Source organism: Homo sapiens, chromosome 17 (assembly GCF_000001405.40).
Source record: "Homo sapiens chromosome 17, GRCh38.p14 Primary Assembly".
Classification (NCBI taxonomy): Eukaryota; Metazoa; Chordata; class Mammalia; order Primates; family Hominidae; genus Homo; species Homo sapiens.
The window spans coordinates 42232489-42254515 of NC_000017.11; the positions used below are offsets into that span (position 1 = coordinate 42232489).

The 22027-nt window shown below is 41.7% G+C and overlaps 1 protein-coding gene across 6 annotated transcripts in view; it reads right to left on the reverse strand.

Moving 5' to 3' along the window:
* STAT5B (signal transducer and activator of transcription 5B) overlaps positions 1 to 22027 on the reverse strand; it is an 89194-nt gene that overhangs the window by 33312 nt on the left and 33855 nt on the right. The window lies entirely within an intron of this gene.

Sequence of the window (22027 nt, forward strand, 5' to 3'; positions counted from 1 at the left end):
TCCTCCCACCTCAGCCTCCTAAAGTGCTGGGATTACAGGCGTGAGCCACCACGTTTGGCCAAAGTAAATGTTTTTAGCCCTTTTGGTAGACTAAAGACAATATTCTTGAACTGAATTTTAACTTTAAAATGTTTTCAAAATGTAGACACTCAGCCTGGCCATGGAAAGATACACAGCTGGGTCTATGAAGCTCTGACTATGAAATGTACTAAGGTCTTATAAGCAAAAGTACAAAAGGAGAATTAGGGAAAGAATTGCTAACTTTGACATCGTAGACATATTCTTTACTTTTGTTCAAAATTGTCAGCCATGGTAAGCAGCATTTCAACAGTAATAAATAATTAGCAGAGAGTTTTTTTTTTTTTTTTTTTGAGACAGAGTCTTGCTCTGTTGCCCAGACTGGAGGGCAGTGGCAAGATCTCGGCTCACTGCAACCTCTGCCTCCCGGGTTCAAGCAATTCTACTGCCTCAGCCTCCCAAGTAGCTGAGATTACAGGTGCCCGCCACCGCACCCAGCTAATTTTTGTATTTTCAGTAGAGATGGGGTTTCACCATGTTGGCCAGGATGGTCTCAAACTCCTGACCTCAAGTGATCCATCTCAGCTCCCAAAGGGCTGGGGTTATAGGTGTGAGCCACTGCGCCCAGCTGAGAGATTTTTTTTAAAAAATCACTTGTTTTAGATTTGGTATTTTGACTTCAGAAATATAATAAACATATGCCATTTTGAAAAAGCCCAGTAAAAGAAAAGTGAAAATATCTGAAGTGTTGATTGAACCCTATGCATTATCACTAGTTACCTAAGCAGCAATGCTTTGCACACAAAGAGCACAGATTTATCTGGAAAAATGCCCGAAGGTTCACCTCCTGAGTTACTGCTAAGGAATTTATGAAGCAATGTTGTTAAATTATAGCATTTACAAATCTTTCAGACACAAAAACAATACATTCCACCTAAGAGTTGGAAATATGAACCATTATACTCCAATAGCAGGTAGTTTCTTTTTTTTTTTTTTTAATTTGAGACGGAGTCTTGCTCTGTTGCCCAGGCTGGAGTGCCGTGACGCGATCTCAGCTCACTGCTAGCCCCGCCTCCCGGGTTCACGCCATTCTCCTGCCTCAGCCTCCCGAGTGGCTGGGACTACAGGCGCCCGCCACCACGCCCGGATAATTTTTTGTACTTTTAGCAGAGATGGGGTTTCACCGTGTTAGCCAGGATGGTCTCGATATCCTGACCTTGTGATCCGCCCACCTCAGCCTCCCAAAGTGCTGGAATTACAGGTGTGAGCCACTGCACCCAGCCGGTAGTTTCTTTTTTTAACATGCTCTTGATTTTTTAAAGAAAGGCTTTATAAAACTACCATGATGCCCCCCTCAGACTCACCTGACAATTTTTAACTCATCTGGCAGATGCTCTTTGAGTTTAACCAGATTAGGGCAGAAACATTTGGGTAGACTGGGAAGGGACTTCAGGTAACTCTAAGGACTGAAAATGAATCTTGCTCTAACACTATTTTCCATAATGTAGAGTTTGGTATAAGGCAGGGTTATCTTGAATTCCATCCCACATGATTTGGCTACTGATTTGCACAATTCTTCTAAGAACTAGGTTACAGTTAGGGGCCGGTGACTTGGACTTGGATTTTGTTTACTACCAGAGACTGTACAAGTGTGTCAGGAAATAAAAATCTCTTCTGTTAGTTGTAGTTGTCTGATCACGTAACACTGGGCTATTTATGGGACAAGTCAGTTAGCCAACAATGAGGTGTAGGGGAGTGCCAGTTATCTATTTTAGACTAGTGCAATGCTATAGAACACTTGAGAAGTGTATTATTTAGGGCTTTTAGGCATTAAGGCTGGGATCACTGTAGACCCAATTTGACCCAAGACATCAAATTTCAGTGGTTGTGAGTTCACCAAAACACTTAGATAAAAGAGCTCTCTCCAGAAGCAATTCCACTTTATAATCAAACACTGGAAGTCACTTAACTGCACAATGTATTTTTTAATCAAATAAATCATATCGCAAGATTTTGGAAAACCAGAACAGATACCAAATCATGATTTTTGGATGAAGGATAAGGAATGGATGGCCAGGCATGGTGGCTCACGCTTGTAATCCCAGCACTTCAGGAGGCTGAGGTGGGTGGATCACCTGAGGTCAGGAGTTCGGGACAAGCCTGGCCAACATGGCGAAACCCCGTCTCTACTAAAATTACAAAACAATTAGCCAGGTGTGGTGCCATGCGTCTATAATTCCAGCTACTTGGGAGGCTGAGGCAGGAGAATCGCTTGAATCTGGGTGGCAGAGGTGGCAGTGAGCCGAGATTACATCACTGCACTCCAGCCTGGCAAGAGAGCCAGATTTTGTCTCAAGAAAAAAAATTATATAAGGGATGGATGAATGAAGGTGCTTAGGCACTTAAGTATATGGAAGAGTGATAAAAGAATGAAGAGAAGAATCTAGGTGTTAGTATTCCTAAGTAGTAAAGAGTAAGAAGTAGGCCCTCACCATAGCTCTCAATGAATATGTGAGTGATACCAACAGATACAAAAATTCTCTTGCATCTGCATTCATTAGGTGAATTGACTTCAGAGACAAAAGAAGGAAAGCTATGAAAACTTTTATCTCCCCAGAGACTCCTTCCCAGCCCACTCAAATAAAACGGCATTCTGGTCACTCTCTATCCTCTTAATCTGCTTTATTTTTCTTATCATTTATCAATTCCTGATATTGATCATATATTTGCTTACTGACTTCCCACCAGGGTGAAATCACCATGAACACAATGACTTTGTTTTGTTCACCGTGCTTTCTCCTGGGTCTAGAACGGTACCTGGCACATAAGCATCATAATTTTTTTGTTGCATAAATAAATGTATACACACAATTTGACCGATTCTATTGGCTCTTTTCAAAGTTATAATTGAACAATATATCAGTATGAAACACCAAGGCATGAAAATGGAACAGATTTCCATTTAAATAATCAATTACAATTTTTTTTTTTTTTGAGACGGAGTCTTGCTCTGTCGCCCAGACTGGAGTGCAGATATCTCAGCTCGCTGCAGGCTTTGCCTCCCGGGTTCAAGCAATTCTCCTGCCTCAGCCTCCCGAGTAGCTGGGACTACAGGCACACACCGCCACGCCCAGCTAAGTTTTGTATTTTTAGTAGAGATGGGGTTTCACCATGTTGGCCAGGATGGTCTTGGTCTCCTGACCTCGTGATCTGCCCTCCTCGGCCTCCCAAAGTGCTGGGATTACAGGCGTGAGCCACCACGCTCGGCCAGGAGCACATCTTATTCACGACTGTGTCCCCAGTGTCTAGTACGGTGGCTTGCCTATGGAAAGTGGTCAAAAAATACTTGCGGAGCGAATAAATACACAAACAAATATTTAACATTCCCTGCTGGTCAAGCATATTTAGGAGCCTATTACTGTTTTAGGAAAGAAATACTGTGGTGATATACTATGCATGTAGGGGTATTAAAAAATGTCACTCTATTTTGCCTTAAATTTTAGATTATTTCTTAGTTTTCATCAAAGAGTAGAATGCTGAGCTCTTAGAATTTGTAGAATATTTTTATGATTCTAGTTATGAACATGCCATAATAATTATTTTCTAAAATAGCATCCCATTTGAAGGATAATAGCTGGTAAATACCAAGTGGCAATCACCTTATTTTGATAAATACAATATAGTTTCACTACACATAAGTGCTTTGATAGAGCTGGAGAGTAGATTCTGCTCACTGCTATTCAAAAGTGTAAAATAAAAGTACACTAACTAGTACAGAGTCATTTTTATTTTACTGTTAAACTGAAAATTATCTATATGTGAAATATGAGATGACTTACTGAGATTATCATTATAAATTCTAAACACCCAGTTTAGGAAAAAACCAACTGTTCTCCCAGTTACGTGAATAACACCTAGAAGCTATGTAGTGGTTTTTTGTTTGTTTGTTTTTTGAGACGGAGTCTCACTCTGTCGCCTAGGCTGGAGTGCAGTGGCATGATCTCGGCTCACTGCAGCCTCTGCCTCCCGAGTTCAAGCGATTCTCCTGCCTCAGCCTCCTGAGTACCTGGGACTACAGGCACTCACCACCACGCCTGGCTAATTTTTTTTAGTAGAGATGGGGTTTCACCATGTTGGCCAGGTTGGTCTTGAACTACTGACCTCAGGTGACCTGCCCGCCTCGGCCTCCCAAAGTGCTGGGATTACAGGCGTGAGCCAGCGTGCCTGGCAGTTAAGTAGTATTTTTCTTCATACATGTCACAACTCTTCACCCCATTATCAGGCTATGTCCACATGCCTGATATGAGTAGCATTCATCTAACCGGCATTCATCCTTCTAACTGGCATTCATCTAGCCATCGAACGCTACTCTGCATCTACAAAGACTGTACCTCTGTCCCCAGTACCCGCCATCTTCTGCTTATTTACGGGCAGCTCCAATTTCAGTGCGTGATGCTCAGACAAGGGAAGTAGTTTGTTCTTTGGTAAATCATCACAGGGGATTCTCTAAAGACTGGGAAATGGATTCACAATCTTATTTTTAGGCCAAAGATGAGAACTATTTGAGCTCGGCTGAGTTGCACTCTGTGTTCACAGACATTTCAGAACAACCTAAGACAGCCCTGGATGCAGAACCCTGTACTTTCTGAAGGCATAAAGCACCTACCTCAACCTTATATATCTGGATATACCCATGGGCTTGGAGAGCCAAATAAATCAGTCGGGCCCTCAGGCACTTGTTAATAAAAGTTTCAAAGTCTAATAGCTCATAATGTTACAGGCTTACTGAAAACCATAAAAATGAATGTCCACCACATAAATAAATGATATAAGTGAGTGGGATTTGGAATAATTTTGTCTCAGTCATAAATATCTTTTCTCAGATGCTTTTCCTTTCTAAAAGTAAAATATAAACTATAACAAAGAAAAACATTACTCTCTCTCTGAAGACTTGTAGAACACTGTGACCAAGGTCTTGCCCTAGCTAAACTGCAGTGGAGAGTAGTGTCTGACATTAGAAGGCCCACTGTGTATCTGCCAACTCAGTGAATGAATTCTAGTGTGGGGTGGGAGTAGGGGGTTAATATGAATAATATTATGCATAATATGAATAATATGAATCCAGCAGATTTGGTCTGCTGGATTCATATGTATAATTTAAAGCATTTTGTAATTCCGATTCTCCATCCTACCCCCCATCCCAGGGCCAAAGTCTCTAAACTGGGGTTAAACTTTTAGAGATGATGCTGAACTCACCTAAATACGGTTCTGCCAAAGACAGCCTGTTAAGCCTCTCTGTGCCTCAGTTTTCTTATTTGTACAATGGGAATAATAATACTTATGCCCCTTAGGGGGCTGCTGTAAGAATGAATTAGTTTTATGTACATACCTAAAACAGTATCTAGCTAAGAGCAGGTGCTCTGTAAGTACTCACTACTGTTCTTACTGTTACCTTAAACTTACAAAACCGGCTTCTTTCTCCCATCTCTAATTTTAACTCAATTTAATAAACTTTCCAAAAATCAATCCTCCACAAATAGCTCTTGCTATCCTTCTCCTTAACCAATATCCTCCAGTATAAACTTTTCTATCCATCCATCCATCCATCCATCCATCCATCCATCCATCCATCCATCCATCCATCCGAGACAGGGTCTTACTCCATCACTCAGGCTGGAGTGCAGTGGTGTGATCATGGTTCACTGCAGCCTCAAACTCCTGGGCTTGAGGGATACTCCTACCTCAGCCACCCAAGTAGCTAGGACTGTGGGCACATGCCATCACACCTGGCTAATTAAAGAAAAAAACTTTTTTTTTTTTTTTTGTAGAGACAAGGTCTTACTATGTTGCCCAGGCTGGTCTCAAACTCCTCACCTCAAGTGATCCTCCCAAGTCAGCCTCCCCCAGAGTGCTGGGATTAGAGGCACAAGCCATTGTGCCTGGCCTTTTTTTTTTTTTTTTTTTTTAAGGCAGAGTCTCGTTCTGTCACCCAGGCTGGAGTGCAGTGGCGTGACCTGGGCTCACTGCAACCTCCGCCTCCCGGGTTTAAGCAATTATCTGCCTCAGCCTCCTAAGCAGCTGGGATTACAGCTGCCCGCCACCACGCCTGGCTAATTTTGTATTTTTAGTAGAGATGGAGTTTTACCATCTTGGCCAGGCTGGTCTTGAACTTCTGACCTTGTGATCCACCCACCTCGGCCTCCCAAAGTGCTGGGATTACAGGCTGTGCTGGGCCCTTTTAAAAGATGGCATTCCTATTTCTTAATCAATTTCACTGGCACAAGGACTTCTGCAGACAGGAACTCTTGGGAGGTGGTGGTGGAAAGGCACCATGAAGTCTGTTCTCTCATCTTTGAATGAAAGAATGGAGAATTGTGAAGGGTGAGGGTGGTACAGTAACAGCAAGGCTTTGATTTTGCCCTATGCATACTAAACTCTTAAAAAAAAAAGAAAAAAGAAGAGGCCGGGTGCGGTGGCTCATGCCTGTAATCCCAGCACTCTGGGAGGCCGAGGTGGGTGGATCATGAGGTCAAGAGATCAAGACCATCCTGGCCAAAATGGTGAAAACCCATCTCTACTAAAAATACAAAAATTAGCTGGGCGTGGTGCCATGCTCCTGTAGTCCCAGCTACTCAGGAGGCTGAGGCAGAAGAATCGCTTGAACCCAGGAGGCAGAGGTTGCAGTGAGCCAAGATCATGCCACTGCACTCCAAGCTGGCGACAGAGCAAGACTCTGTCTCAAAAAAAAAAAAAAAAAAAAAGGAGAAGAAAACTACCTATTCCATTCCTTCTAATATGTTGTTGAACAGAGAGGACTAAGCCAGCAGGGAGCCATGCCTTTACCTATTCCTTCCAAGGACATATCTGACTTTTAATAATTAAAGTACAAAAAACAACTAATGAAATTTGAAGTTTTCATTTATTATACTGCTTTATGAATTATTAGCAACAAATATTTCAATTCATCTAATAAATAAAAATAAACTTCAGAAATAGGATAAGAAATAAATAACATTTATCAGTGTTATTATTATCCCCCATCCAGATTTAAGAGCTAGCTAAGCACTTAGTATATTACTTATAACAAGTGCTTTTATGAATCTACTCTTTATCCTAAATCCCTCAGACGTAGGCACTATTATTATCCCCGTTATGGATGAGGAAATTGAGGGTCATCAAGATTAAGTAGAATTGTAACATGGTGAAACAGTTTTGGAAAACTATCTGGCAATTCTACAAAAGGGTAAACATAGAGTTACTACATTATCCAGTAGTTCCACTCCTGGGTATATGCCTAAGAGAAGTGAAAACATGTGTCCCCAGAAAGTGGGTACACAGGCCAGGTGCAGTGGCTCACGCCTGTAATCCCAGCACTTTGGGACGCTGAGGCGGGTGGATCACCTGAGGTCAGGAGCTCGAGACCAGCCTGGCCAACATGGCGAAACCCCATCTCTACTAAAAATTAAAAAAGAAAAAAATGAGCCGGGCACGGTGGCGGGTGCCTGTAATCCCAGCTATTTGGGAGACTGAGGCAGGGGAATTGCTTGAATCTGGGAGGTGGAGGTTGCAGTGAGCCGAGATCTGTGCCACTGCACTCCAGCCTGGATGACAGGGCAAGCACAGCAAGACTCTGTCTCAAAAACAAAGCAAAACAAAAAACAGGTACACAAATGTTCACAGCTGCATTATTCATAATCACCTCATAATCGCCCCAAAGTGGAAACAACTCAAATGTCCACCAAAGGATAAACAGATAAATATGGATAGGAATGGATAAATACAATGAATAAAATGGAATATTATGCAGATGTTAAAAAGGAATGAAGTACTGACGCATGCTACAGTGTGGATGACCTTGAAATCATTATGTAAAGTGAAAGGCATGCAAGGGAACATACTGTAAATTCCATTTTTATGAAATATCCGGAATAGGCAAATCCATAGAGACGGAAAATAGATTGTTGGTTGCCAAGGGCTGAGGGGAGGGAGAAATGGGGAATGATTGCTAAAAGGTAAGGGCTTTTTGAGGGGATGATGAAAATGTTCCGGAATTAGATAGTGGTGATAATTGTATAACTCTGAGAATATACTTCAAAGGGTGAATTTTATAGTGCGTGATTATATCTCAGTAAAGCTATTTTTAAAAAGAGAAAGAGGTGAAACACTTGCTCCAGGGTCGGTCCATACTACTAAGGGGTACTATCTGGGCTGGACCTACCTGAGAACCTGCACTTACTTGCACCACTGCACCAGGCTGCATGCATGTTGAGGACTTAAGGTGGTTTGCCATTTTCTATGTACTTTTCTGCCTGTTTGTTATATTTCATAATTTAAAGAGAGCAAAGAATGAAAAATTAAAGTAAGAAACCTAATACTGAGGGGCTCTGATTTTGGCAAAGGCTAGGGCTGGGTGACAGATCAAAGAGATGACGTTTAAACATTGCTTCTGATCTGAAAAGTACAAGGCAAGGAGCCAGGGTTCAAAACTGTTAAACCTATCAGCTCCAGTGAATGACTAAGGATTCTGTACAGAATATAAAGAGCAAGTTCCAGCCAGGCGTGGTGGCTCATGCTTGTAATCCCATACTTTGTGAGGCAGAGGCGGGCAGATCACCTGAGGTTGGGAGTTCAAGACCAGCCTGACCAACATGGAGAAACCCTGTCTCTACTAAAAATACAAAAAATTAGCCAGGCGTGGTGGTGCATGCCTGTAATCCCAGCTACTTGGGATGCTGAGGCAGGAGAATCTCTTGAACCTGGGAGGTAGAAGTTGCGGTGAGCTGAGATCGCACCATTGCACTCCAGCATTGGCAACAAGAGTGAAACTCCATCTCAAAAAAAAAAAAAAAAAGAGCAAATTCCCTAATTATGTTTACTGCTTTCTGTTGATACCAACATTATTAAATATATTAAATGGTGGTGGTCACCTAGTACAGCAATTTTTTTTTTTTTTTGAGACAGAGTCTTGCTCTGTCACCCAGGCTGGAGTGCAGTGGCATGATCTTGGCTCACTGCAACCTCTGCCTCCCGGGTTCAAGAGATTCTCCTGCCTTAGCCTCCTGAGTAGCTGGAATTACAGGCATGTGCCACTGTGTCTGGCTAATTTTTGGATTTTTAGTAGAGGCAGGGTTTTACCATGTTGGCCAGGCTGGTCTTGAACTCCTGACCTCAAGTGATCCACCCACCTCGGCCTCCCAAAGTGTTGGGATTACAGGCCTGAGCCACCATGCCTAGCCTAGTATAGCGATTTTGAGGGACGGAAAAATATTCAATAGCAGCAATAAAGGATTAAGACTTCATTCATATTAAAATTGGACTAATATCAAGTAAGAAGGCTATCACATCTAGAAGCAGGTTAATACCAGAGCCATCTGCTCTTTAATTTTTTTTTTCTAAATACTACCCTATATGCAATCAGGAAGCCAATTCTCTTTTTAAAAAATCACATTATTAAACAGATGGGAAGAGAACAGAAAGAATAAAAGCATTTGGCTCACAAAGAAGCAAACAAGGAAAAATGTGCCCAGGCAACATAGAGATGATAGTATTCTGGGAAGACAATCCGCCATTAATCTTTATGTCACAGCCAAATCACTGCATATTACAATAGGAAGAACAGAGAATGGAGGAGGGGAAAAGGGTAAGGGAGGGAATAAAGGAGAAGGTAGAGAAAGGATCTACTTACTAAATATAAAAATCAGGTTTCAATCAGCAGGTTACTATATATTTAAAACTCTCATCTAAATATAGGATATAAAGTCTTGGCCAAAGATGCACAATCTCAAAAATAAAGAGAGTAGACTCAGACAAGGATCATCACAGCTACTAAAACCATTAGGTGACAGTTGTTGGGGAACAGCATTTAGTCTCAAAGTACTACTCACATATTACTTATTATTCAAAGGGGAAAAGGTGCATTTCTGTGGATAAATCTGGCGGACAATGCCTTAACCGAGTGATCAAACATCCCCAATCATGGCATAAACTGACATTATGTGCCTCCAGATATGATTTGCTGAAAAGAATACACAAACTAAATCATGAAGAAACAATCAGACAAATCCAAATTGTGAGACTCTAATCAATGATCCCACCCCCCACCCAAAACAGGTGGAACTGTTCTAGGTTAAAGGAGACTGAAGAGACACAACCAAGAGCGTAATTCAAAAACAAAAACACGACTGGGTGTGGTGGCTCATGCCTGTAATCCCAGCACTTTGGGAGGCCAAGCCCAGAGGATCACTCAAGGTCAAGCATTCGAGACCAGCCTGGCCAACATGGTGAAACCCTGTCTCTACTAAAAATACAAAAATTGTACCCCCAACCCTGTGCTCTCTGAAACATGTGCTGTATCCACTCAGGGTTGAATGGATTAAGGGCGGTGCAAGATGTGCTTTGTTAAACAGATGCTTGAAGGCAGCATGCTCCTTAAGAGTCATCACCACTCCCTAATCTCAAGTACCCAGGGACACAAACACTGCGGAAGGCCACAGGGTCCCTCTGCCTAGGAAAACCAGAGACCTTTGTTCACTTGTTTATCTGCTGACCTTCCCTCCACTATTGTCCTGTGACCCTGCCAAATCCCCCTCTGCGAGAAACACCCAAGAATGATCAATTAAAAAAAAAAAATGTTAAAAATAAACTTTAAAAAATATATGTGTTTATACTTAAAAAAAATAAATAAAAAAAAAATATAAAAATTAGTTGGGCGTGGTGGCACACGCCTGTAGTTGCAGCTACTCTGAAGGCTGAGGCACAAGAATCTCTTGAACCCGGGAGGCAGAGGTTGTGGTGAGCTGAGATTGCGCCACTTGCACTCCAGGCTGGGCAACTGAGTGAGACTCTGTCTCAAAACAAACAAAAACACCCACAGCTCTAAAGGCCATTATATCATTATATATTAGATATTACTTTATCACTGCTAAATTTCTTGAGAGTGACAATGGCATTCAGGTTGCGTAGAAGAATGCCCTTGCTGGGAGTAGATACACTGTCAAGTATTTGAGGGTAAATGGCCATGTCGTCTGCATCTTACTTTGGCAGGAGAAACGGAAGAGTGACAGTGGTGGGGAGTGTGGGAAAGTAAATCTAACAACTGTGAACACTGGCTCAACCTAGGTGAAGTATATGCGAGTACTCATTGTTCTATTCTTTCCACTTTTAAGTCATGTACACTTTTTTCAAAATCAAAATGAAGGGCAAACATTCCAAAAAAGAAAAACAAAGCAATGAAAGCAGAGGTTTGACTCTCACTTTGAAACTGTCCCTGGTGGTCAATAAAAATCTGGACTTCTTAGGCGTTGTGCTGCAGCTTGCAGGCCACCAGCATGCAAGTTGGGCTCTCTTGTGCCATGGTGGCCCACAGTGTACATGTGTTATCATTATCTCCATGTCCAAATCCATGGAGATAATGGATTTGCGATCCCTTTGGGAAGAAGCTACATCTGTATCACTTTCCAGATGACTAAAAGCACTTGCTGTAGCCCAAAATTAATGACCATCTGCATTACGGAAAAATAAGAAATGATTTGAAGCTGCCATGTAGTCCTATCTTACCTTCAGAATTTTTTTCTTTCTTTTCTTTTCTTTTTTTTTTTTTGAGACAGGGTCTCACTCTGTCACTCAGGCTGAAGTGCTATGGCGTAATCACTGCTCACTGCAGTCTCAACCTCCTGGGTTCAGGTGATCCTCCTCCCTTAGCCCCCTGAGTAGCTGGGACCACAGGTGTGTGCCACCATGCCCGGCTAATTTTTTTTTTTTTTTTTTTAGAGATGGGGTCTTGCTATGTTGCCCAGGCTGGTCATGAACTCCTGGGCTCAAGTGATCCTCTTACCTCGGCCTCCCAAAGTGCTGGGATGACAAGTGTGAGCCACCACACCCAGCCAGCCTCAGAATTTCTAGTGAAGGTTTATATTTGTACTGTAATTCAAGATCAACTCATCTTAGAATCTGTCTCTTGGACAATTCAAATCTTTTAGTTCAGGAAAAAAACTCCTCAGCTACTACAATACCCTGTTTCTATACTGCTTAAATGAAATATAATCCCTTTCCTCTTGTTTGAAAGTTAAAAACAAACAAAACAGGCAATTTATTAATAAATCCACACATGTTACCAATATTTTCCCTATTAAAGTTCATGGCCTCCCTCTTACCATTGAGAATTACAGTGTTTAGTTTCTACCTAGCAAAATTTTCTTTGACAAGTGCCTTGATTCAGGCCAATTCCCAGGGATATATACCGTCGGGACAAACAGAAATAACCAAAATGTCCAAAATAGGGGGATGATTAGACTATAATGTATTAATCTAATGGGATATGGTGCAACCAGTTAAATGAAATATAAAAGCTATGTTGAAATATAAAAACCATGTAGACGCATTTTTAAATTTTTATTTTATTTATTTATTTTTTTGAGACAGAGTCTTGCTCTTTCAACCGGGTTAAAGTGCAGTGGCACAATCTTGGCTCACTGCAACCCCCACCGCTCGTGTTCAACCAATTCTCTTGTCTCAGCCTCCTGAGCAGCTGGGACCATAGATAGGCATCTGCCACCAATGCCTGGCTAATTTTTTTTTTTTTTTTTTTTTTGAGATGGAGTCTCACTCTGTCACCCAGGTTGGAGTGCAGTGGCGCGATCTCGGCTCACTGCAACCTCTGCCTCCCAGGTTCAAGCGATTCTCCTGCCTCAGCCTCCCGAATAGCTGGGACTACAGGCACGCGCCACCATGCCCAGCTAATTTTTGTAGTTTTAGTAGAGACAGGGTTTCACCATGTTGGCCAAGATGGTCTCGACCTCATGACCTTGTGATCCGCCCACCTTGGCCTCCCAAAGTGCTGGAATTACAGGCGTGAGCTACCGCGCCTGGCTGAGTCTTGCTCTTTCAACAGGGTTAAAGTGCAGTGGCATGATCTTGGCTCACTGCAACCCCCACCTCTCGCGTTCATGCAATTCTCTTGTCTCAGCCTCCTGAGCAGCTGGGACCATAGGCATCTGCCACCAATGCCTGGCTAATTTTTTATTTTTATTTTTTTGAGACGGAGTTTTGCTCTTATTGCCCAGGCTGGAGTGTAATGGCGCGATCTTGGCTCACTGCAACCTCCGCCCCCCAGGTTCAAGCAATTCTCCTGCCTCAGCCTCCCGAGTAGCTGGGATTACAGGTGCCCACCACCATGCCCGGCTAATTTTTTGTATTTTTAATAGAGACGGGTTTTCACCATGTTGGCCAGGCTGGTTTCGAACTCCTGACCTCGGGTGATCTGCCCACCTCGGCCTCCCAAAGTGCTGGAATTACAGGCGTGAGCCACCCCGCCCAGCCCTAATTTTTGTATTTTTAGTAGAGATGGGGTTTCACCATGTTGGCCAGCCTGGTGTCCAACTCTTGGCCTTGTGATCCTCCCACCTCGGCCTCCCAAACTGCTGGGATTACAGATGTGAGCCATCACACCTGGCCTGTAGACACATTTTTTTAGAGTAGAAATAAAAGAATGTTAAATGAAAAGTGTATGCAACACGTATGCAAGAGGGCAAATAGAGAAAGGTCAAAGAGAAGTGTAAACAGTTGTTACATTTAGGTGAAGGGGCTTTTTGGTACAATTTTTGTAAAGTTTTTGATTAAATTGTGTTTAAAATGTAAAACTTAAGATATAAATTTAATAATCAATGGGGAATTGGTACTACTGACTATCCCACAGGAACCAAGTTTAAAGAGACATAAAACACAGGAAGAAATATTTCCTAACATGATAATATCCAGGTTATGACACTGTCTTACCTGGGCAGCCTTGATTTAAGTAGAACATTCAGAATTATAAAGTAAAAATTCAGAATTATAAAAAAATTTTAATTTTAAGTAGAACATTCAGAATTATAAAGTAAAAATTCAGAATTATAAAAAAATTTTTTTTAAAATGCAATTCTTTCACTTTCAAATATATAGTGCCTTAAATGTGTTTTCAAATAGTGATTTAAGACTGTTAATAGCAGATTAATTTGTAATTCTGACATATATTTATATATATTAGTGGCCCTCTTTCATCTTTGATGTGACTAAGCAAACTTGTACCAACTGTAAATAGAACGAAATACACAGAAAGTCACTCACAACGGTACCAGAATTTCTTTAAAATAAAAAACTTTCTAGCTGGGCATGGTGACTCACTTCTGCAGTCCAAGCTACTCAGGAGGCTGAGACAGGAGCGCTCCCAGGAGGTCAAGGCTGCAGTGAGCTATGATCACGCCGCTATGCTCAAGCCTGAGCCACAAAGTGAGACCCCATTTCTAAACACAAACAAACACATCCCTTACCTCTAATCACATACCTGAACACAACTGGCTTACGTGAAGGCCGTTGACAGTTCAAGAGTAACAATTCAAGGTGTCTAGAAAGCTATCATTACAAGAGCAGATCACAGGAAACCTCAGCTGTTGGTTCCTAACTTCGCTCCTACTCAAAGGCCAACAGAACCGGGGAGAAATCTTCCTGTTTTGTTGATATCAATTTATTTTGTGCCAAGAACCTATACCTAAAACCAACGCAGGGTTTGTATTCCCCCTGGATTCTTCATTACCCCAGGAAAGTGGAACAGATCAGACCAGTTTCCAAGAACAGAAGCACTGCAGGGCAATCTTGCTAAGGGGGCCCTGAGATGTTTCTCTCTGTACTAATCTCTATGTCTTTTATGTACATCAACACAAACCTTCACCCAACCATCTCTGCCATCAACAGCAAATCTAGGGAAGAGACCAATAATACCTTAGAAAAGCACACCTATCCACCGAACCAAAACTAAATACAGAAGGATATGGCAGTTTGCCCCGTTTTCCAGGTAGCTGTGTTCTCTTAATTTGCCATGAATTAAAATGTTTCATTTTTACTTAGACATAACTTGAATATGTCATTTCAAATAACAAAATAAAAACTGAACTGAATATGTTTTAGTTAAAACAATACAAAACTGAAATCTCCTCTTTTAAGAGAGAAACGCTTCATCAGCTGGTTAGTTCCCTTGTTTGCTTACTGGGTGATATGAAACCCAACTACAGCTTTCCAAAAATAATCCCAAGTTGTGGGGTGTCCTACTACCTGTGTTTAAGTAAAACAAGTCCTGCAGAAAAAGTGGATCCAACGAGTAGCAGGTTTGTTAAGAAGCTAAATCTTGGCCAGGTGTAGTGGCTCACACCTGTAATCTCAGCACTTTGGGAGGCTGAGGCAGGAGGATCACCTGAGCTCAGGAGTTCAAGACCAGCTTGGGCAACATATCAAGGCTCTGTCTTTACAAAGAAAGCAAAACAAAAAGTAGTAGCGTGTGGTGGCGCACACCTGTAGTCTTAGTTACTTGGGAGGATGAGGTGGGAGAATCACTTGAGCCTAGGAGTTAGTAGCTGCAGTGAACTATGATTGCGCCACTGCATGCCAGATGGATGACAGAGCCAGACTCATTCTCTAAAAAAAAAAAAAATGTATGAGAAAAAGAAGAAGATAATTCTGGGCCAGGCACAGTGGCTCATGCCTGTAAACCCAGCACTCTGGGAGGCCGAGATGGGAAGACTGATTAGGCCAGGAGTTTGAAACAAGCCTAGGCGACATAGTGAGACTCCATCTCTACAAAAAATTTACAAATTAGCCCAGTGTGGTGGCGCATGCCTGTAGTTCTAGCTACTCAGGAGACAGGCAGAAGAACTGCTTAAGCCCAGGAGTTTGAGGCTGCTGTGAGCCGTGATTGTGTCGCTGCACTCCAGCCTGGGTGACATTGTAAGATCTTGTCCAAAAAAAAAAAAAAAAAAAAAAATCTTATTCTAATTCTGAGAAGAAATGACATTTAATAAGAGCTCATGTCTTAGCAAATCAAAATGTTTGTCCTGCTGGGGAAAAAAAAAAAACAACAACGGTTATCCAGGTATAAAAAGCAATTACCAGGACATTTAACATTAAGATGAACTAAAATTGTGCACAAAATAATTGTCCACATTTACTACAGCACTCATAGTGGGAGTAAATAAAATGCAATTACTTTTGCTAAAGCAACCTACTTTTTCTGGTAACAGACCGTCTCTCACTATACCTCTAATAGTAGATCTACACACAACTTAGCATGGTGTAGGAACTTGAGTGCATGCTCCTACAGCACACAACAGATGCACTGAAAGGCTCCCACCTCTTAACTAACAGCTTATGCTGCAAGGCATCAGCCAGGATAACGGCAGAGCCCTTCTGTGTATGTGTTCTTTCACAGGCGGCACTGTTACCGGAAGAAGCGAAGAGCAGCGATTTCCTTCCAAAAGGTCAGCTGCCTCAGACAGACCAAACAGAAAGCAGCGAATTCTTGCCAACTTCCCCTCCTGCTTCTGCAGCTAGTACGCAATAGCATTTAGTTTCCAGTAAAGCTCCAGATAAAAACAAAGCAAATGTGAGACCCAGAATCTACACAATGTCAGTGTCTCGCTTGACTGAACGAAGGGCAGTAAGATCATATGGAGCTACGCTTTTTCAACGTGGTGGAAGTGTTAGGAAGGTGAGATTAAACATGAAGAAAAGGTCAGGACTGGAACCATCCAGATTTTATACCAATGTCCAGAAGTCTCCATCTAAAAATAAGATGGTAGGCTGGGTGAGGTGGCTCAGGCCTGTAATCCCAGCACTTTGGGAGGCCAAGGCCAGTGGATCACTTGAGGTCAGGAGTTTGAGACCAGTCTGGCTAGCATGGTGAAACCCCGTCTCTACCAAAAATATACAAAATTAGCTGGGTGTGGTGGCGCGTGACTGTAATCCCAGCTACTCGGGAGGCTGAGGCAGGAGAATTGCTTGAACCTGGGAGGTGGAGGTAGCAGAGAGCCAAGATTGCACCACTGCACTCCAGCCTGGGCAACAGAGTGAGACTCTATCTCAAAAAAAATAAAAAGAAAAAGAAGATGGTATTTTAGAGATAATAAATGCAACAACAGATAAGGTCCCTAGTCAACTGATAAAAAAAGAATAAATTTTGAACTTATTCTCAAAATAAAGTCAAGTCAGTCATTCTGCAACATGCTAGGGCACAGGCAAGGTTCAATGCTGACAACCAGTAGATATATATACAATGAATATATAAGTTTCTTAGATTAGACATGGAGAAAAGACTGTAAAACACATAACAAAAAGGGGAAGAGGATAGAAAATATAATTTTTTTTTTTGAGACAGGGTCTCACCCTGTCACCCATGCTGGAGTGCAGTGGCGTGATCTCAGCTCCCTGCAACCTCTGCCTCCCAGGCTCTAGCAATCCTCTTGTCTCAGTCTCCTGAGTAGCTGGGACCACAGGTGTGTGCCACTATGCCTGGCTCATTTTTTGTATTTTTAGTAGAAACGGGGCTTCATTATGTTGCCCAGGCTGGTCTCGAACTCTTGAACTCAAGCGCTCCACCCACCTCGGCCCTCCAAAGTGCTGGGATGACAGGCGTGAGCCACTGCACCAAACCCAGACTTCTTTAAATTAAGAGAGTGTTAAACTACATGAAAGCCTACGCATTCAATCTTCCCAGAGGAGCAAAATTAGACCCTTTTGAGTATAAAAGTGAAGGAGAAGGAAGGGAAAATGATGATTTTAAACATTTTTCTCAACCAGATCGGTTCCCGGCTTAACTATCTACACAAAACTTGCGAGAAAATGTTACGAGCTCCTACCCCATGTCGTTGGCTCTATGTGGTTTCTAACTCGTTAGTTTCAGGTTGTGGTGGCAACAGAGACACCAGGCTTTTTGTGAGACAAGCTCTTGTTCTAAAATGTCTGGGCTTTGATGATGGAGAGTATTTTAACCCCACTCTGAGAATACCTAGTTTGAAATGAAGATAGTATGGAGTTCAAGGAAAAACGTATTAGTTTGTTATGTTAAATTAAGCCACCCACACACCCACACTAGAAACTGTTTTGTGTTGGAAACAAAATAAATGACTTCATTTCCAAGCCCTTCCTATACTTCATCACCAAACCTTAAATAATAGCAAAGGAATAAGCATGGGAAATGAGAAAAATAAAGTACTAGCAGCAGTAGTAATAGAATTATAATAACAGTAGTAGTAATAAATATTCAAGGAGTTTTGTCCACCTTCGGAGCTCAGGCTGTGAACCACAGTGGTTTACTTATTGAAAATCATCACGAGGCCGGGCGCGGTGGCTCATGCCTGTAATCCCAGCACTTTAGGAGGCCAAGGCGGGCGGATCATGAGGTCAGGAGATCGAGACCATCCTGGCTAGCATGGTGAAACCCCATCTCTACTAAAAATACAAAAAATTAGCCAGGCGTGGTGGCAGGCACCTGTAGTCCCAGCTACTCGGGAGGCTGAGGCAGGAGAATCACTTGAACCTAGGAGGCGGAGGATGCAGTGAGTGGAGATCATGCCACTGCACTCCAGCCTGGGTGATAGAGGGAAACTCTGTCTCAAAAAAAAAAAAAAAAAAATCATCAGCTAGTCAAATGAGTTTCTCCTGACAGTGATACCTGCAGTTTAACTCCTTTATAACACGAGCCACAAAATGAATTATCATAAAATGCAATTCACAAATGAATACAAAAAGATTATTTGACAATCCAAAAAAAAAGGCTTTAAATAAGACTCCCTTCCCTGAGGGTTAGCACTAAGAAGACAAACCTTCAAGCACAACCAAAGGATGCCATATTTGGGGGGTGGGGGTTCACCTTCATTCTTTTAAATCAATCAGAAATTAGCCAAAAGCTTTAGATTGTAAAAGTGAGTGGGAGGAGAATAACGAGAACTGTCCTGGGCTTGGGTAACTTTCCCATAAGGCCAAAACCTAGATCCTGACCACTTGTGGTCAGAATTAGCAATGCAACATTTCCTATAAGAAGCTGAGTTGTTAACTTTGTTAAACTTGTTCGCAAATTCCTTAAGGGGCTTCCATTAGTTACATTATTATCCATCACCAATATTTATCACAGAACATCTGAAACTTAGGCTTTCTAATGGCAGAAAACATTTTACATACAGGGGGAAATGTCATTAATAGAAATGAGAAAGCAACTTGTAAAACACCCCAGTGTGTAAGACAGGATAACAAAGGATACTGAAGTTAGCTGCCATCTGGATACCTGTTCACATGATACCTATAACTAAACAGCAACTTACCTGATGCTACTGTGCATTGGGTTGGAGACAAGGTATACATGATAAATTCCTACTATAATTAATAAATGTTCAAATGAAAATATACAAATAGATTGGGTGCGGTGGCTCACACCTGTAATCTCAGCACTTTGGGAGGCCAAGGTAGGCGAATCACAAGGTCAGGAGCTCAAGACCAGACTGGCCAGCATGGTGAAACCCCGTCTCTACTAAAAATACAAAAAATTAGCTGGGCGTGGTGATGCGTGCCTGTAATCCCAGCTACTGGGGAGGCTGAGGCAGGAGAATGGCTCGAACCCAGGAGGTGGAGGTTGCAGTGAGCCGAGATCGTGCCACTGCATTCCAGCCTGGGTGACAGAGCAAGGCTCCGTCTCAAAAAAAAAAAAAAAGAAAAAAAGAAAAGAAAATATACAAATAACTATGTTACTGTTGATGTACATTAAGTATGAGTTGAATGCTAGAAGATCATCTGGGTTCTCCAAGCTATGCCATCAAGAAATAGACACTCTGATACAGAAGGCAACTTCTGAATTTAACAGTGCTGTGCGATATATCAAGGGGAAATTTGGGACAAGGATGCCTGGCAGTTCCACAAGCCTAGGAAAAGTGCCTCAAACAATCTTTAACACCTTTAGGTAGAAATAGAATCAGTACAATATTTGTATCCAATGTCTTTGATCATTTTGATAATCTTATTTTTAAAAGATGGGATGTTTTCCTCCTCTAGAATTAGAATTTACCCTACACTCTGGACATAAGAACCAAGGCAACTAAGTTATCTGCTGGCCAACTAATAGACTGTAAGCCATCCTGGAGCAAGGACCATGTCTCTCTGATTCATTTTGATTTCCCCAATATAGTACTTGATATACATGGTTGGTATTTAGTAATTGTGTATTGAATACAATTTTTATAGACCTCCATGTTACAAAAAGGACCTAAATTGGGGGAAATGGATGGTAGGTCAGTTATTTCCTTCAGGATATTTTTAACACTGTGGAGGTCATTAATCTGAATCCTTATTACAGGAATAATGGGAGTGAATCACACTTTATAGAAACCATGACGGAGGTTTTGACTCATCATTGGTGCTAATCAAGGTAAACATAATAGCAAGTTGTGCCACCCTCATAAACATCGTGACAAGTTTGTAAAATAGAGCTAACACTTTATTGCAGCAATTTCAAAGAGAAGAATTACATGAAATATGATGATGCTAAGATGAGCTAAAATTCCAAAGAAAGGATCTTCTCTAAGCAAACTAACCTTTCTTTTAATTATATCTCAAGAAAGAAGCTGAGTATAAACGAAAAGCACATTTGTCAACAATTCACTCATTCAGTTACCATGTATGCCACTAACTACAATCCAGAAAGATTTATGATTGTGCCAAAACAAGATGATGAGGTTCTATACCCAGAATGTAGATTAATGTTAGAAGGATGACTCAGGACTTATGGCATCAGTCTGATAGACGTTGAACCTTTCTTTCTTTCTTTCTTTCTTTCTTTCTTTTTTTCATCTCTGTGAGTTCTTCAACTACAGGACAGAATGCCAACTCAGGAAGATAATTCAGTAAACACAGCCACCTTTGACTACAGACTATTTTTTATCCAAGATGTATTTCCATGTAGCAAAGTAAATTTAGCAAATGAAAATATAGTCTTGACTTGCTATGGATGTCCCCTATCTCTGCCAAAAATGACAAGCTGCTTGCTCAAAAGCTGTCACTAATTAGCAGCTGCTGCTGTAAAGAAAACCAAAGTAAGTGCCAATAAAAGCATATTGAACTCAAAGAGGGCCCTATGACAAGAGATGGGAAATGCAAGAATCTATTTGTGACTAGTAAACTTACATAAATACTAGCAATCTAAATTTGGGAGATGTAGGGGCAGGGCAATAATGGCAATACATATCCATTCATATTTAAACAGGAAGGACTGAAAGAGTCTCCTAACATCCTGAAAGTCAGAAATACCAAGGTATTGGTGTTGCTGAATTCCATCACAACCATTTCCACCTTTCCAATAGGAGCCAGTCTTGGTTTTGGATGATGATGATTATTTTTAGAGACAGGGTCTTGTTCTGTGGCCCAGACTGGAGAGCAGTGGCATGAACACAACTCATTGCAGCCTGTGACTCCTGGCCTCAAGTCATCTTGCCACCTTTGCCTCCCAAAGTGCTGGGATTACAGGCGTGAGTCACCGCGCCTGGCCTGGTTTTGGATAATTTCTCATTGTCAATACTTCTGTCTCTGGCACTTTAACAACTGCATTTGTAGACATTGTAAAAATAAATTTTAAAAATAACTTTCATATTCTATGGGCTTCGGCCTAAACTCTGATGGTTCCGAATCTACCTGTTGACCCCTCATGTTATAGGTTGAAACTATGAAGTCAAGCAGAAGTGATCTGCCCAATGTAAATGAGCACAGATACAGTGGTAGAAAATCACTTTACTAGCCCTATTTCAAGAGGCTCTAAAGGAGTCCACAACATCCCAGCACTTTGGGATGCTGAGGCAGGAGGATCACTTGAGGCCAGGAGTTCAAGACCAGCCTGGGCAACACAGCAAGACCTCATCTCTACAAAATAAAAATTAAAAAATTAGCCAGGCGTGCTGGTATGTACCTGTAATCCTAGCTACTCAGAAGGCTGAGGTGGGAGGATGGCTTGAGCCCAGGAGTTTGAGGCTACAGTGAGCCATGACTGCACCACTGCACTCTGTCTCTTAAAAAATAATAATAATAAAGTAGTCTACAGCCCAAGATCCTGCTTTAAAGCTAAATTCCATAGATTACTTTTCAAATCATCCTTCGAAGCTGTCCTCTCTTTGTTCCTATCAGTCAGAACTCCCAGTATATTTCTCTTTTTCCTCAACAAGTTAGTTTC